Below are 14,373 nucleotides of genomic sequence, written 5' to 3'. Positions count from 1 at the left end.
CTCTAAGGAGAACCTGCTTTGCCCTTTTTATCCTGAAGATTTAGGTGGTGTGTGCCTGTGATCCCAGCTACTTAAGAGGCTGAGACAGGAGGATCGCCTGAGCCAGGGAGGTCGAGGCTGCAGTGAACCGTGATTATGCCACTGCATTCCAGCCTGGGTGACAAAGCGACAGAGCAAGACCCTATCTCAAAAAAAAAAAAAAACAATCCTGAAGACTTAGGCCCCTATGTATTTACTACCTCCCTGCAATCTTCCACCAGAAGTAGAAGGCACTGGCCATTTAAATTACTGGCAACCACTAGAGAAGAGAATTACGGTGCCTTAGCTATGGAACCACTTATGATCCTGCTTACAGTCTAGGTTTTAGATTTGGTCGCTGACTTGATGCTGCTAGACTCCAACTGCCTGAAACGAGCGGCTCTCCTGGACTGCTTGCTAGAAGCTTAAAGGTATTGGGTTGGACTCCATTGCTTGTTCATGGCCTAGTGGCAGTGGTGGTGGCCTTGGGCCTCAGGTTGTGATTAATCAGACACTCTGATGTGGAAACATGAGGCTGGTGGAATATTCACCTGATACAGTGAGGGTGGGAGGGAACGGGGACCCAGAAAGGGTCAGACAGAGAACAAAGTAATATCTCTGGGCCTTTTTACCCTGGAAAGGAATTTCAGGTGGGTCAAACCCCACCAGCGTTCTCCAAAACTAGGCAGAGGAAAAACCTAGGGGAAGCTGTTGGTTCAGAATTGAAGATGCTGGAAGTGGGTGAGGACCCTGTCAGAATGATGGAGAAAGAACAGGCATCCCCACCGCATCTCCAGAACCCAAAGGCTTTAAAGGGAGCAGTGACTTGATTTATATCCAGTGCTTTATTAAAGATAAATAGTCTCATAAGAGGAGAAGTAAATGTGTTTGCAGGCCAACAGAGAGTCCATGTATATGAGAAAGAGATGCGTGAGGTCCCTGATCTGTGCTCTGAGGGGGTGGTCAGTCAGGCAGGGCTTGGGCCAACCAGTAAGGCAGATGAGGGTCCCTGTCCTGGGGGACTCACTGCTCCTGGGTGCCCCAGGAGATGTAGTCTGGCCGTGTGGCCGCATGGTACTCATCGATGAGCTGCTGCACAATCTCCCTGGATGTGTCCATCTCATCAAAGTTGTCCTTGAACATGTCCTCCTTGCGGAACTGCTCCAGGAAGGCCTCCCGCTTACGCAGCTTGTCATACTGGCGACAGGTTCTCTCGAAGAGCTTGGGGTGTGCAGAAAACAGGGGTTACAAAGAACTTCAAAGAATAACGTGGCCCAGAAAGCTGGGGAACCAAGGCTGGGCTATGCCCACAGCAAAAAAGCTAGAAGCAGGGCCAGCAGATGCAGAGAGGTGAGGTATAGTCAGGAAACTGATTCAGGGAAAAAAGGTGCAAACTTTGAGACTCACCGAGGAGATGCTGGTGTGGTTGGCCATCATGAGCCCGCTGACCCGGTGGGCCGAGGGCAGGTAGGGAGACTTCCTCGACAGGGCCACCTGGATGCTGGCGGGGCCCCACGGGATGAAGTTGGCCAACTTGCGTTCCCGGATCCTCTGCAAGCTCTTGTGGACCTGGGGTGGGCATAGGAGCAGTGGAGGTGGCCTCTCCTCTACCCCTGCAGGTCCAGGGTGTGGGATGAAGGGGCCTCCCCTACCTGGGTGGGGTCCACCTCTCCCTGGATGATGTTGAGGATGGCGATGTAGCAGTGGTTGGTCTGGCGGTCTCGGCCTGTGGACACCATCACGTTCTTGGGCTGCAGCAGCCGCCTCATGACATCCAGGACCGTGGTCTTCCTCACGCTGGCCACCTGATAGGACAGTGAGACAGGGACCCGGCCAGCGCTCAGGGCACAGTCCCCCTTTGGCTTCTCTTTGGCAGAAGCCAAAGGCAGAGGGAGGGTGGAGAGCAAGTCAGCAAGAAAGTCGCCCACTCTGTGCCAGTCCCTGAGCGCCGCGCCTTGGGGTCCACAAAGGGTAGCTCCTGGGGCAGTGGGGAAGAGAGAAAGGCTAGGACAGGGCCTGTTGGGCCCAGGGCCGGCCTGGCCTGGGACACTGAAGGCTGCTCTTACTGACTGGTCCGTAGTGAGAGGGGTGTAGCCGGTCATGAGGAAGTGGAGCCGTGGGGTGGGAATGAGCGAGGCGATGAGGCCGATGAGGTCATTGTTCATGTAGCCAGGGTAGCGCAGGGTGGTGGTGCTGGCTGACATGATGGTAGACACCTGGGGACAGGCGTGCCATGTTATGGGCCTCAGCCTGGGTGGGACCTCCCTTCCCCAAATGACCCTCCAACAAGGAGGGCTTCAAGTCCAAAGGAGTCCAGGAGTGGGGGCCCACCAGCTGGTTGATCTGGGAGAAGGATGGGTTCTGGATGTGCAGGCGGTCTGTGGCAATCCGGTTCAGGGCTGTGTTGTCCAGCACCACCTGGGGGGACAGAAGAGGATCACAGATCAATGGGGATAAGAAAAACAGGAGCTCTGCCTGACCCTAGGCTCTGAAGCTTAATTTCCTTTGAGCTTCATGGCCAGAAAGACTCACTGGAAAGAGATTTGCACTGACCTAGGGCAAAGGAGGGCTCAAAATGGATTTTTAAATTTTTCTTTTCATCTTAATTATTTAAACAGTTTTTTTTTTTGTTCTTGTTTTTTGAGACAGGGTTTCACTTTGTCACCCCGGCTGGAGTGCAGTCAGTGACATGATCTCAGCTCACTGCAGCCCCTGCCTCTGAGGCACAAGTGATCCTTCTGCACATATCACCACTCCCGACTAATTTTTGTATTTTTAGTAGAGATGGGGTTTCGCCATGTTGCCCAGGCTGGTCTCGAACTCCTAAACTCAAACGATCCAACGACCTTGGCCTCCCAAAGTGATGGGATTACAGTCATGAGCCACTGCACCTGGCTAAAATGGATTTTTTTTAAATACATGAAAATGATTTAATAGACTCGAGTGGGTATGGGGTGTTGAGAGTTGGGAGAGGTAGAATCCAGGACTCACCACACAGTCTGCATTCTGCGTCAGCCTCTTGAGTGTGAGGAGTGAATTGTAAGGCTGGACCACCACATCGCTCATCTCGTCCTGGTTGGGAAACACTGAGTATGTCTGCACCAGCTTCTTAGGATACCTGGTGGGGGTTGGGGAAAGGATCAGGGCAACAGACCGAAGGCCTGGTGAACATGGCGCTCCCTAACAACTGTCCAGAAGCAGATAAATCTTGATGGCGAAACTGGGGTGGGGTCAAATCAGTAGAGAAGGGAGCCTTGACTTTTGGAAGTCTGTAGCCCTACAGGGGGAAGGGCAGAGACATCTTAGACTCTGGGCTTCCAAATTGAGACCTGGCCACACTCCCTCGACTTTCATCCAGGGCTCAGGTTCTAGGCTCCAGTTCCCACTACTGGGAGTGTGATGGGGTTCTCAGTCATTGTAACTTCATTTTCCTCTCTATAGGAGGGAATATAAGAACTCTTTCCTGTTCCAGCAAATATGGAGTTATATCTGCTGGGTCCCCTAGTCATTTAGGAAGCCAAGTTGGAGACCTTTCCTAATCCCCAAACACAAACTTACCTGTCATTCAGCCGTTCTAAGAGGTAGGAACCCAGTCCAGAGCCTGTCCCCCCAGCAATGGAGTGACACAGCACAAAGCCCTGCATGGGGAAGGGGCAGTCAGTGTACAGGTATCTAGTGGCAGGATGTCAAACTAGACCCATCTCATAGTTTTTTAGGACTCCCATTTTCCCGAGCCCTTGCTTCCCATCCAGTCCCCTCACTTATACAGCTTAGGCAACTGCCTTGTTTCTGGCAAGGCCTGATAGCTTCTGTCCAGTGCAAAGGGTACATGAGTGGGTCTTGTTCCTAACAGGTCGCTTCTAGAGGGTGCTGCCAAGCCTTGCCCATGTCGGCTCCTACCAGCATTCCTGGGACACTTACCTCTAGACTGTCACTACCATCTGCCTCCCGGTCTATGATGTCAAAAATGTCCTCATGGATCTTTTCTCCCTGTACAGACATAGGGGAGGGTCAGAGTGGGACAGAACCATGGGAGGTCTCTGACCTCAGAAAAGCCACCCTCAATTCTCCTTATAACACCCAGAAGTCCTTTTATGGAGCATAGCTACCTGCTTTTATCTACATTGAGAGGCAGTACGGTGCAGTGGTTACAAGAAAGCACTCTACACCCAGACTACCTGGGTTCATACATTAGCTCTATTTTTTTTTGCGATGGAGTCTCTCTCTTTCTCCCAGGCTGGAGTGCAGTGGCGCGATCTTGGCTCATGGCAACCTCCGTCTCCTGGGTTCAAGCGATTCTCCTGCCTCAGCCTCCCCAGTAGCTGGGATTATAGGCGCATGCCACCATGCCCAGCTATTTTTTGTATTTTTAGTAGAATCAGAGTTTCACCATGTTGGCTAGGCTGGTCTTGAACTCCTGACCTCAGGTGATCTGCCTGCCTTGGCCTCCCAAAGTGCTAGGATTACAGGCGTGAGCCACCACGCCTGGCCCATTAACTCTACTTCTATGTAGCTCTGGGCAGCTTATTTAATTGCTCTATGCCTCAGTTTCCTCATCTGTACAATGAAGGTAATAATACAGGTCCATATACCCTTATCTAACAGTGTTGGGGCCAGTTATGTTTTGGAATTCAAAATATTTCAGATTTTAGAAAGGTATTATGGTATATATACTATATATTAAATAAAATTCCAGTGGGAATTTTTATTTAATCAGAAGCACGTTAATCAAATATATTAGTATTTCTGTAATAAAAGGCATCACTAATGACAGTAAGTTGGATAGAAACTATAGGGCCGGGCATGGCGGTTCACGCCTGCAATCCCAGCACTTTGGGAGGCCGAGGCAGGTGGATCACGAGGTCAGGAGATCAAGACCACCCTGGCTAACACAGTAAAACCCCGTCTCTACTAAAAATACAAAAATTAGCCAGGCGTGATGGCAAGCACCTGTAATCCCAGCTACTCGGGAGGCTGAGGCAGGAGAATCGCTTGAACCCGGGCAGCAGAGGTTGCAGTGAGCTGAGAGCGTGCCACTGCACTCCAGCCTGGGCGACAGAGTGAGACTCCGTCTCAAAAAAAATAAATAAATAAAAATTAAAAAAAAGAAACTATAAAACAGCCTGTCTTCATTGAAATTTGTTTTTGCTGATAAACTAGTTATGAAATGTCCTTTGGTTTCATGGCTTTCTGGATCCTGGAAAGGCAGATAAGGGACTGTGGACCTGTAGTACTTACTTCTAGGGTTGTTGGGAGATTTAGAAAAATTAATATATGTAAAGCACTTAGAATGACCTGGCACACTGCATTAGCTAGTGTAGGCGCTTGACAATATTACATAGTCCACTCCCTGCAGCCAGGTCTCTCCCTCCAGCATTCATACATCCCTGATCCGGTTTTCCCTCTCTTCGGGACGTCATAGAGCCTGTCCCTACCCAGCGAGTTGTGGGCCCTGCCAGGGAATAGGAAACGACCTGGGAGAATCCGCTGGCCCAGTTGTTGCCAGCTCCTCCTCCATGTTCCGACAGGTAGATGTTCTCTGGGTTGTAGAGCTTGGCATAGGGGGAGTTGAGGATGGAGTGGATCACCCGGGGTTCCAAGTCCAGCAGCACGGCCCGGGGGATGTAGTGCTCATCGTCTGCCTGTCAAGGGGAGTCCAGGAGGGGGCCCAATCAGCTAGGGCGGCCCAAGTCCGAAGTCCTCCCAACTCTGGCTCCCTCCGGCCCTCCCTCCTCAAGCCAGCCGCCTGGCCCTACTGCCCAGCGGGGTTCCCAGTACCAGGCCACTCCCTTCCCTTCCGCCCCCTTGGGCAACTGCCGCCCCCGGCCAAGTCGCTGGGGGCACCTGGTAGAAAAAGACGTCCTTGCGGTCAGTGCCCTCGGTGGCGAACTCCTCCACGATGCCCTCGGGGCTGATACCATGCTCGGCGCACAGCTGTTTCCAGAACTCGAACCCAACTGGGGGGAAGGGGCGGGCAGGGGAGAAAGAAGATATCTAGGTCCGGGCAGGTTCCAATCAGGAGCCGGGGGACTGGGCGCCTGCGTCCAGGGATAAGAAGTCAAGCCGCAGGACTCTCCCGTGTCTGAGGAAAGGACTGTACGCCAGGGACTGGGCAGGGGAGGGCCCCTCGGGGTTGGGCAAGTGGACACTGGGTCAGGGATGTCTCGCCTTTCAGAGAACTACGATTCTGGCAAGGACAGATGGAGTCCAGGATCCCACAGCGAGATCCCATTGACCCTAAGGAACCTGGCTAGCTGAGGGGCCGGAGTTTCGCTCACTCTGATTGCCGCACTGGCCCAACTGTAGGGTGATGATTTCCCTCGGCATCGCTCCTCAGGCACCGGCGTTGCAGCCGCTCCCGCCCGCAACGGCGCCGCACGCCAGCCCGCTCGCCGCAAGACGCAGGCGCCAAACAACCAGCTCCACCCACGAACTTCCTCCGCTCCAATGAGAATCGAGTTCTGGCAATGAATGGCACGTCTTTAAGCACTGGCCTTCGTTCATGCAGATTGCGCGTGCGCGGCTCCGGATGCGGCTCGGCGCCTCCGGATCCGGCTCCGCGCCTCAGTGAGGGCGGGGTACGGCGTCCTCCCTCCCCTCTGGGTGGGCGCCTGCTTGGGCCTGCGCGCAAGCGCGCTGTGGTGCGAAGCCACCTCCCCCGCCGAATCGCGCATCTGCGCAGTTGCTGTTATTGTGACTTGTCGGGCCACGGCCCCGGATGTTGTGGCTGCCGCGGGGAGATGGCTGAGGCCGAAGGGGTTCCCACGACCCCAGGCCCGGCTTCGGGGTCGACTTTCAGGGGCCGCCGAGATGTGTCAGGCTCCTGGGAGCGGGACCAGCAGGTTGAGGCGGCGCAGCGGGCCCTGGTGGAGGTGCTGGGGCCTTACGAGCCTCTGCTGAGTCGGGTGCAGGCAGCCCTGGTGTGGGAGCGGCCAGCTAGGAGCGCTCTGTGGTGCCTGGGGCTGAACGCGGCTTTCTGGTGAGAGAACTGGACCCTCGGAAACCCTCCGAGTCCCGAATTCGTTGGTTCCTCTAGGGCTCTACTTCTCGCCTGCCCTGTTTTCTTCGCTGCACTGGCTCCTTCCTGTACTTGCCTAATTTTGCCTCACCTCCTTCCACTCCATCCCGCCTGCAGGCTTCGGCACCCTAGTTCTTCCCAGGGCCGTCCACCCATCTTCTCTGCCTTACCTGTGCCCGCACCCCCGCCCCGCACATCTGGCGGGAGCTTCTGGTAACATCTTGAGCCGCTCAAGAGTGAGCGAGGGCTCCTCTTTTGAGCCCGACAAAGCTGCGTCCCTTTAAAGCCATCACTTCCTTTCTCTTGTCTGCTCAAGTGCAAGTTCTAGATTGTTTCCAGAGGTTTTAGTAGTTTATTGTTGGAGTAGAGGCGTGAAGTCTTGCAAAGGTATCCATAGGTGTGATTATAAAACAAGCTTGAGCGATTCGCATGAATTAGCATGTTATATATCTAGGAAGGAAGTTTATGAAGTCTAAGCGTCAGTGTGAGCCCCCAAAGCTGAAAATTGAAAGAAAATTACAAGCTTTTAAAGAACAGTTAGGAAATGATGACGGAGATTACACGCGTGTCAAAGCCACCTGTGATTGTAACTCCTCCCTGTTCCAAGGAATTAGAGAGGCATCCTTAGCCATGGTTTATAGGCAAGGAAATTGATGTCTAATACTGTGTGTGAGTTTTCCTGAGCTGGAAAAGTAGCACTGTAAATATGCTTTATTTGTGTGTGTCATGCTCTGTGAAAATGGAACTGCTGCTTCTCTCAGTTGTCATCACCTGAAGTGGACCTAGGACTTCATAGGATCTACCAACCATAATTTTGGATTTATTTGTAATGGAGGAGGTTCCAAGGGAACTGACTTATAGGGGGCTTTCTGCTGCTGAATGGATTAAGACTATTCTGGATAAGCCTGAAACAACAAAATATGTGTGTTTTTTAATTGTGTTTTTGCTAAAAATAGCTTTCCCCTTAAAATTTGTTTTAAAATCAAAACATTTATTATCCTTTATCTGAAAGATTTTCAGTGAGCTGAAGCAGAACAAATAATTCCAAGTTCATTGACCCGAAAACAGTGTTCAGCTATTAAGCTAATCCTCTCCCAGTTTGAAAGAGACCCAGTTAAAGGTGTCACAGTAGTCTCTGGCATTTGTGGCTTCCAGAGCCTTTAGCAAACTCGATGGTAAACTTTTCCTACCACGTTCTTCATTTATTTTTGGTAGTGCTTTTTCCCTTTTTTTTTTTTTTAAGACAGAGTTTCACTCTTATTGCCCAGGCTGGAGTGCAATGGCGTGATCTCGGCTCACTGCAACCTCCGCCTCCCAGATTCAAGCATTTCTCCTGCCTCAGCCCCCCAAGTAGCTGGGATTACAGGCATGAACCACCACAACCGGCTAATTTTGTATTTTTTTAGTAGAGATGGGGTTTCTCCATGTTGGTCAGGCTGGTCTCGAACTCCCGAGGTCAGGTGATCTGCCTGCCTCGGCCTCCCAAAGTGCTGGGATTACAGGCGTGAGCCACTGCGCCTGGCCTTTTTTTTTTTTTTTTTTTTTTTGAGACAAGGTCTTGCTCTATCACCCAGGCTGGAGTGCAGTGGTATGATCTCGGCTCATTGCAACTTCCACTTCCTGGGCTCAAGCAATCTTCCCACCTCAGCCTCCACAATAGCTGGGACCAGAGGTGCACATCATCATGCTTGGCTAATTTTTTAAATTTTTTGTGGAGACAGGGTCTCACTATATTGCCCAGGCTGGTCTCGAACTCCTAGGCTCTGGTGATCCTCCTGCCTTGGGCTCCCAGAGTGCTGGGATTATAGGCATGAGCCACCGTGCCCAGCCAAGTGCTTCTTCCTTGACCCCTAGGTACTGATTCCCATTGCTCTCTGTAGAAATCTTCACTATAGCACCTCACTGAAGAGTGTTTTATCCAGTCAAAACATTTCCCACAGTGGTTTTGGTATCTCTAGCAAGAAGGCTGGGCCTCATTAAACCAATTTGTATCAAAGTATGACTGCCTGATGGAAAAAAACACTTTATCAGGGTTTACTTATTTTTGTTTTGAGACAGTTTGGCTCTTGTTGCCCAGGCTGGAGTGCAATGGCACGATCTCAGCTCACTACAACCTCCTCCTCCCAGGTTCAAGCGATTCTCCTGCCTCAGCCTCCCGAGCAGCTGGGATTACAGGCATGCGCCACCAATGCCTGGCTAATTTTTGTATTTTTTTGTAGAGACAGTTTTGCCAGGTTGCCCAGGCTCGTCTCAAACTCCTGACCTCAAAGCAATCCACCTGTCTCAGCCTCCCGATGTGCTGGGATTACAGGTGTGAGCCACTGCACTGTACCGGGCCTTAAATGGATTTTTAAACCAAAGATTTATGAATGCAAATGAATTAGTAGCATGTATGCTGTTCTTTTTGAGGAGGGGACCTTTTTTTTTTAATTAATTTTTGTTTTTTGAGATGGAGTCTCGCTCTGTCGCCCAGGCTGGAGTGCAGTGGCGCCATCTCGGCCCACTGCAAGCTCTGCCTCCCGGGTTCACGCCATTCTCCTGACTCAGTCTCCCGAGTAGCTAGGATTGCAGGCACGCGCCACCACGCCCGGCTAATTTTTTGTATTTTTTTTTAGTAGAGACGGGATTTCACCGTGTTAGCCAGGATGGTCTCAATCTCCTGACCTCGTGATCTGCGAGGAGGGGACCTTTCTTCTGCCGCTTGTCTGAGAGAGGTTTCTGAAGCAGAATGTGAGGTTGAGGTCTGCACATAAAGAGCTGCTGTGACTGGGACATATCTTTAGATGTTACAGCTAGCTTTAATTTGCTGGCCTCTACCAGTGTTTACTTAAGCTTATTAACATGCTATGTTTAGAGGCTCACTTAGAACCCCTTTTGTACTCTGGGTCTCTTAAAGCATTGCTGTGATTGGTCTTTATCTTTGGCATTTCCTAGTAGCTTGTCTGTTGTGTATCCAGAACACAGTTACTCTTGTTACAGTCCCATCACATTTTAAGAAGGTGCAGGAGAGAGACAACAAAATGAGGATGTGACTTTTTTTTTTTTTTTTTTTTTTTGAGATGGAGTCTCGCTCTGTCACCCAGGCTGGGGTGCAATGGCGTGATCTTGGCTCACTGCAACTTCCACCTCCTAAGTTCAAGCGATTCTCCCACCCCAGCCTCCCGAGTAGCTGGGATTACAGGCACCCACCATCACGTCTGGCTAATTTTTGTATTTTTGTAGGGCAGAGTTTCACCATGTTGGCCAGGCTGGTCTTGAACTCCTGACCTCAGGTGATCCACCCACCTCGGTCTCCCAAAGTGCTGGGATTACAGGTGTGAGCCACTGTCCCTGGCCGACAATGTGACTCTTGAGACTAAAAGAACAGTTGGGTATGCCATTTCTGGAGAGGACTCCTACATGTGAAAGGCACAGATACTGTTAAGTCCCCAGAAACTTGGATAGTCTGGCATTGGAGTTCACAGAATTGTTTGGGGAAATGAGCTTCCTTGGTAGGTAATTAGAGATTTAAAATGAAATTTGGGCTTCACATTCTAGTAGTGTCATATTGAGTATGAGTGTTGACATTTCGCTTAGAAATGTGGAAGAGTGACTGACTGTTCAGTTAACAAACATTTTAAATGTTTAAGAAAGGGAGGAGGATCATTAGCTCAAGTCAGAAAAATCAAATCTGAAATATTTAGTTTCTCTTTTATTGTATTGAATAATGGGACAAAAATGACATATCATTAACTGAGATTTTTATGCATTTTGAGGTATTAGGAGATAGGAGTACAAAAAAAAACCCATCAGAATTCAGGTAGGTAGCTCTTAATTTTCAGTGTTTTGTATCCTCAGTCATATTTTGCCGTAACTGTGAATATGCCCTCTTACATCTTAAAAAAAAAAAAAAAAGATGGAGATAGATGTAGATACCTTGTCACCATAGTATTCCAAGGTTTTCATACTTTTTTTTTTTTCAGGTACCAGAGAATTTATGGTGGCCATATCAGAGGTCTTCCAGCCTAGATTACTTCTGGTCACTGATCTGTTATTGTCTCTAGCATAATAATAGAAATGTCAGGCCGTTCCTTCCAATAGCTTGTGTTTTCATTAGTCTCAACCTCATCTGTGAATGAGTGATTTGGGGGAAGAATGTGAGAGTCAACAAGCATGTATCCTGACAGGATCAGAAAAGAACAGGTTTGGGTAACTTTTTGGTTTGACTTGTACTCTGAGATCAGAGGAGGGTAAATGAACACTGGAAATGTGTGAACTCCAAGCTCCCTCTCCCACCTAACATGAAGAGATAGTTCAAGGAGGCCTACATAACTGCTGAGCTCTTTCAGTTTTTTTTTTTTTTTTTTTTTTTTGCTGGGGAATCGGGGGTTGTTGGGCTGGACAGGGTCTCCCTCTGTTGCCCAGGCTGGAGTGCAGTGGCACAATCATAGCTCACTGCAGCCTCTACCTCCTGGGCTCCAGCAGTCCTCTTGCCTCAGTCTTCCAAGTAGCTGGGACTAGAGGCACATGCCACTGGGCCCAGCCTATTTGCAAAACTTTTGTAGAGACAGAATCTCAATATGTTGCCCAGGCTGGTCTCAAACTCCTCATCTCTAACAGCCCTCCCGGCTTGGTCTCCTAAAGTGCTAGGATTACAGGCATGACCCACTGCACCTTGACTGCTTTGTGGTTTTTAACAATCTGTGAATCTACATAGTCTATGAATTAGGAATATTGTTTTGGAGCAGTCCACAAGCTGAGTCCCAAGTAGAGATCTCTGTTGGGATCTGCTTTTTGCAGTCACTAGTCTCAGTGAACCATACTGTATTTCTAGGAGGTTATTATAGAATTTGTTATTTCACAAATGAAATGTAAAAATTTTATTTTTGTCCGCCCCCCCAAAAAAATAAATAAATAAAAATGACCCAAAAAAGTGATTAAGGATATACAGCAATTCTGAGTTAGAAGGTTAGGATTTGAGTAAAAAATAATAGAAACAAGAAATGGAAGATGGGGAGCCCATTTAAGTAGAGATATTTGTTCTGTTAAAAAAAATCTACACATCTGATTTCTTTTCTTTTTTTTTTTTTTGAGACGGAGTCTCGCTCTGTCGCCCAGGCTGGAGTACAGTGGCGCGATCTCGGCTCACTGCAAGCTCCACCTCCCGGGTTCACGCCAGTCTCCTGCCTCAGCCTCCCGAGTAGCTGGGACTACAGGCGCCCGCCACCATGCCCACCTAATTTTTTGTATTTTTAGTAGAGACCGGGTTTCACCGTTTTAGCCAGGATGGTCTCAATCTCCTGACCTCGTGATCCGCCCGCCTCGGTCTCCCAAAGTGCTGGGATTACAGGCGTGAGCCACCGCGCCCGGCTACACATCAGATTTCTAATGAAATCTGTTGAGTGAATGTTCCTGATGATAGTCTTTGCAGGGTTCTTGTCTTTGTGAGCCGAGAAGACTCCCAAGGATGCCTTGGTTTATTTACTTCCCCTCTCTTTACCTTTAGTTTTTATCTGCCCTAATTGTATGGTTGAGTGCTTTCTCTCCACTGTTAGCAGCTAGCTGATTTCATTTCTGGTTTTTTTGCAAGCAACAACTGTCACTGCATGATATAGGTTGGGTTAATTTTTCCTTTGAATTTACCGGTGACTTGGGCTCATTAACCAGGCGGTCACAAGTGCTGTACAGTAACAGGCTTTCTGTCCCTGTAGAATGGGATGCTTTGTTTTGAAGTGCCCTTGAGACAATCTTAATCTGTAATAACAAAGGAACCTAGAAATCATGTCTTTGAAAATAGACATGTGGTCATTATTTATGATTATAGCAAACTTTAATTTACTGGTACTAATAGTGAGGCTCCATGGTATAGTTAATCACAAAAGTTTATGTTTGGTTCTGGAATTTCTCACGATGTTTCTGGACACCAATTGCTATTCCAGGGATATTTTATTTAGACTGATCATTTAATTGGATTTTAGTCCCTGACAGAGTGGAGGGACAGTTCACAAAAGGGGAAAAAAAAATCAATGGATATATAAAATTTCACTCTCACAAATAAGAAAAGAATTCAAATATATGTAAATGGAAATTATTTACTAATTTCTATCTTAAGTTTTTTTTTTGGCGGGGGACAGGATCTCACTGTCGCCCAGGCTCGAGAGCAGTGGTGTGATCATGGCTTATTGCAACCTCAACCTCTGGGCTCAAGCCATCCTCCCACCTCAGCCTCTCAGGTAGTGGGGACTACAGGTGTGTGTCACCACACCTGGTTAATTGTTTTGTATTTTTCGTAGAAACAAGGTTTCACCATGTTGCCCAGGCTGGTCTTGAACTCCTGGGCTCCAGCAGTCCACCCACCTTGGCCTCCCAAAGTGCTGGGATTACAGGTGTGAGCCTCCACACCTGGCCTTAAGTATTTTTAATGATCATAATTAATTCTGGGGAAAATATGGAAAAATGGGCATATGGCTGATAGGAACATAAATTGGACAGCCTTTCTAGCAAGTAGTTTGGTAACATATTTTAAGCCACTTAAGAAGCTTTTCCAGGGCTGGGGGAAATGGAGAAAGAATACTAATGGGTATGGGTTTCTTTTGGAGTGATGAAAATGTTCTGAAATTACATAAGGCTATTAGTCGTACAGCATTGTGATTTTTTTTTCATCTCTGCTGCTGGCAGATGAATTGAAAGAGAATTTTATCGTATACAAACCATTATCTCAATAAAGCTATTTTCTTACTTTTTTTTTTTTGAAACGGAGTCTTACTCTGTGGCCCAGACTGGAGTGCAGTGGCATGATCTCAGCTCACTGCAACCTCTGCCTCCCAGATTCAAGCAGTTCTCCTGCCTCAGCCTCCCAAGTAGCTGGGACTACCGGCGTGCACCACCATGTCTTGGCTGATTTTTGTATTTTTAGTAGAGATGGAGTTTCACCATGTTGGCCAAAGTGGTCTTGAACTCTTGACCTCAAGTGACCCACCTGCCTCGGCCTCCCAAAGGCTGGGATTACAGGTGTGAGCTACGGTGCCCGACCAATAAAGCTATTTGTTTAAAATAGTTAATGCCTTTGACCCAGTAACATGCTCAGTGATGTATAGTTCAGCTTTTATTACATCAAAAAATTGGAAACTTTTGGCTGGGCGCAGTGGCTCATGCCTATAATTCTCAGCACTTTGGGAGGCCGAGGCAGGCAGGTCACCTAAGGTCGGGAATTCAAGACCAGCCTGACCAACAATGGAGAAACCCCATCTCTACTAAAAATGCCAAATCAGCCGGGCATGGTGGCGCATGCCTGTAATCCCAGCTACCTTGGGAGGCTGAGGCAGGAGAATCCGTTGAACCTGGGAGGCAGAGGTTGT

At 48.8% G+C, this 14,373-nt stretch overlaps 2 protein-coding genes across 4 annotated transcripts in view, besides 1 other annotated feature; one reads left to right on the top strand and one right to left on the bottom strand.

The window, feature by feature from the left end:
- TUBG1 (tubulin gamma 1) lies at nucleotides 845-6,400 on the bottom strand. Its single transcript, NM_001070.5, has 11 exons — nucleotides 6,297-6,400; nucleotides 5,863-5,975; nucleotides 5,493-5,660; nucleotides 3,940-4,008; nucleotides 3,577-3,656; nucleotides 3,010-3,136; nucleotides 2,350-2,436; nucleotides 2,085-2,234; nucleotides 1,671-1,823; nucleotides 1,426-1,587; nucleotides 845-1,239 (listed from the first exon to the last, which is right to left on the bottom strand). Exons 1-11 carry the CDS (start codon nucleotides 6,343-6,345, stop codon nucleotides 1,042-1,044), a joined length of 1,356 nt encoding a protein of 451 aa, NP_001061.2. The 5' UTR covers nucleotides 6,346-6,400; the 3' UTR covers nucleotides 845-1,041.
- RETREG3 (reticulophagy regulator family member 3) overlaps nucleotides 6,656-14,373 on the top strand; it is a 29,920-nt gene continuing 22,202 nt past the window's right edge. For 2 of the 3 annotated variants that reach the window (NR_026697.2, XM_047435503.1), the window contains exon 1: nucleotides 6,656-6,997. Coding sequence is in view for 1 of the 3 variants with exons in the window: in NM_178126.4 (NP_835227.1) it covers nucleotides 6,759-6,997 (239 nt within the window). In the remaining 2 variants the exon portion in view is untranslated. The remainder of the gene's footprint in view (nucleotides 6,998-14,373) is intronic. The other variant, NM_178126.4, reaches the window with a different exon arrangement.
- Nucleotides 6,718-6,827: an enhancer, noted in NCBI's record as "active region_12211". NCBI's record gives its function as "activates an Ori minimal core promoter by ATAC-STARR-seq in GM12878 lymphoblastoid cells {active_cell/tissue: GM12878}" and the evidence as "EXISTENCE:reporter gene assay evidence [ECO:0000049][PMID:35858748]".

This window comes from Homo sapiens, chromosome 17, assembly GCF_000001405.40.
Source record: "Homo sapiens chromosome 17, GRCh38.p14 Primary Assembly".
In the NCBI taxonomy this organism is placed as follows: domain Eukaryota; kingdom Metazoa; phylum Chordata; class Mammalia; order Primates; family Hominidae; genus Homo; species Homo sapiens.
This window is presented reverse-complemented; position numbering and strand designations above follow the sequence as displayed.

Coding starts and splice junctions, on each gene's coding strand:
- TUBG1 (NM_001070.5), bottom strand. CDS start 6,345: ATGCCGAGGGAAATCATCACCCTACAGTTGGGCCAGTGCGGCAATCAG. Junction 3,137..3,576: donor TTAGAACGGCTGAATGACAG/GTAAGTTTGTGT, acceptor AACCCCCACCAG/GTATCCTAAGAAGCTGGTGC. Junction 1,240..1,425: donor ACCACACCAGCATCTCCTCG/GTGAGTCTCAAA, acceptor GCACACCCCAAG/CTCTTCGAGAGAACCTGTCG.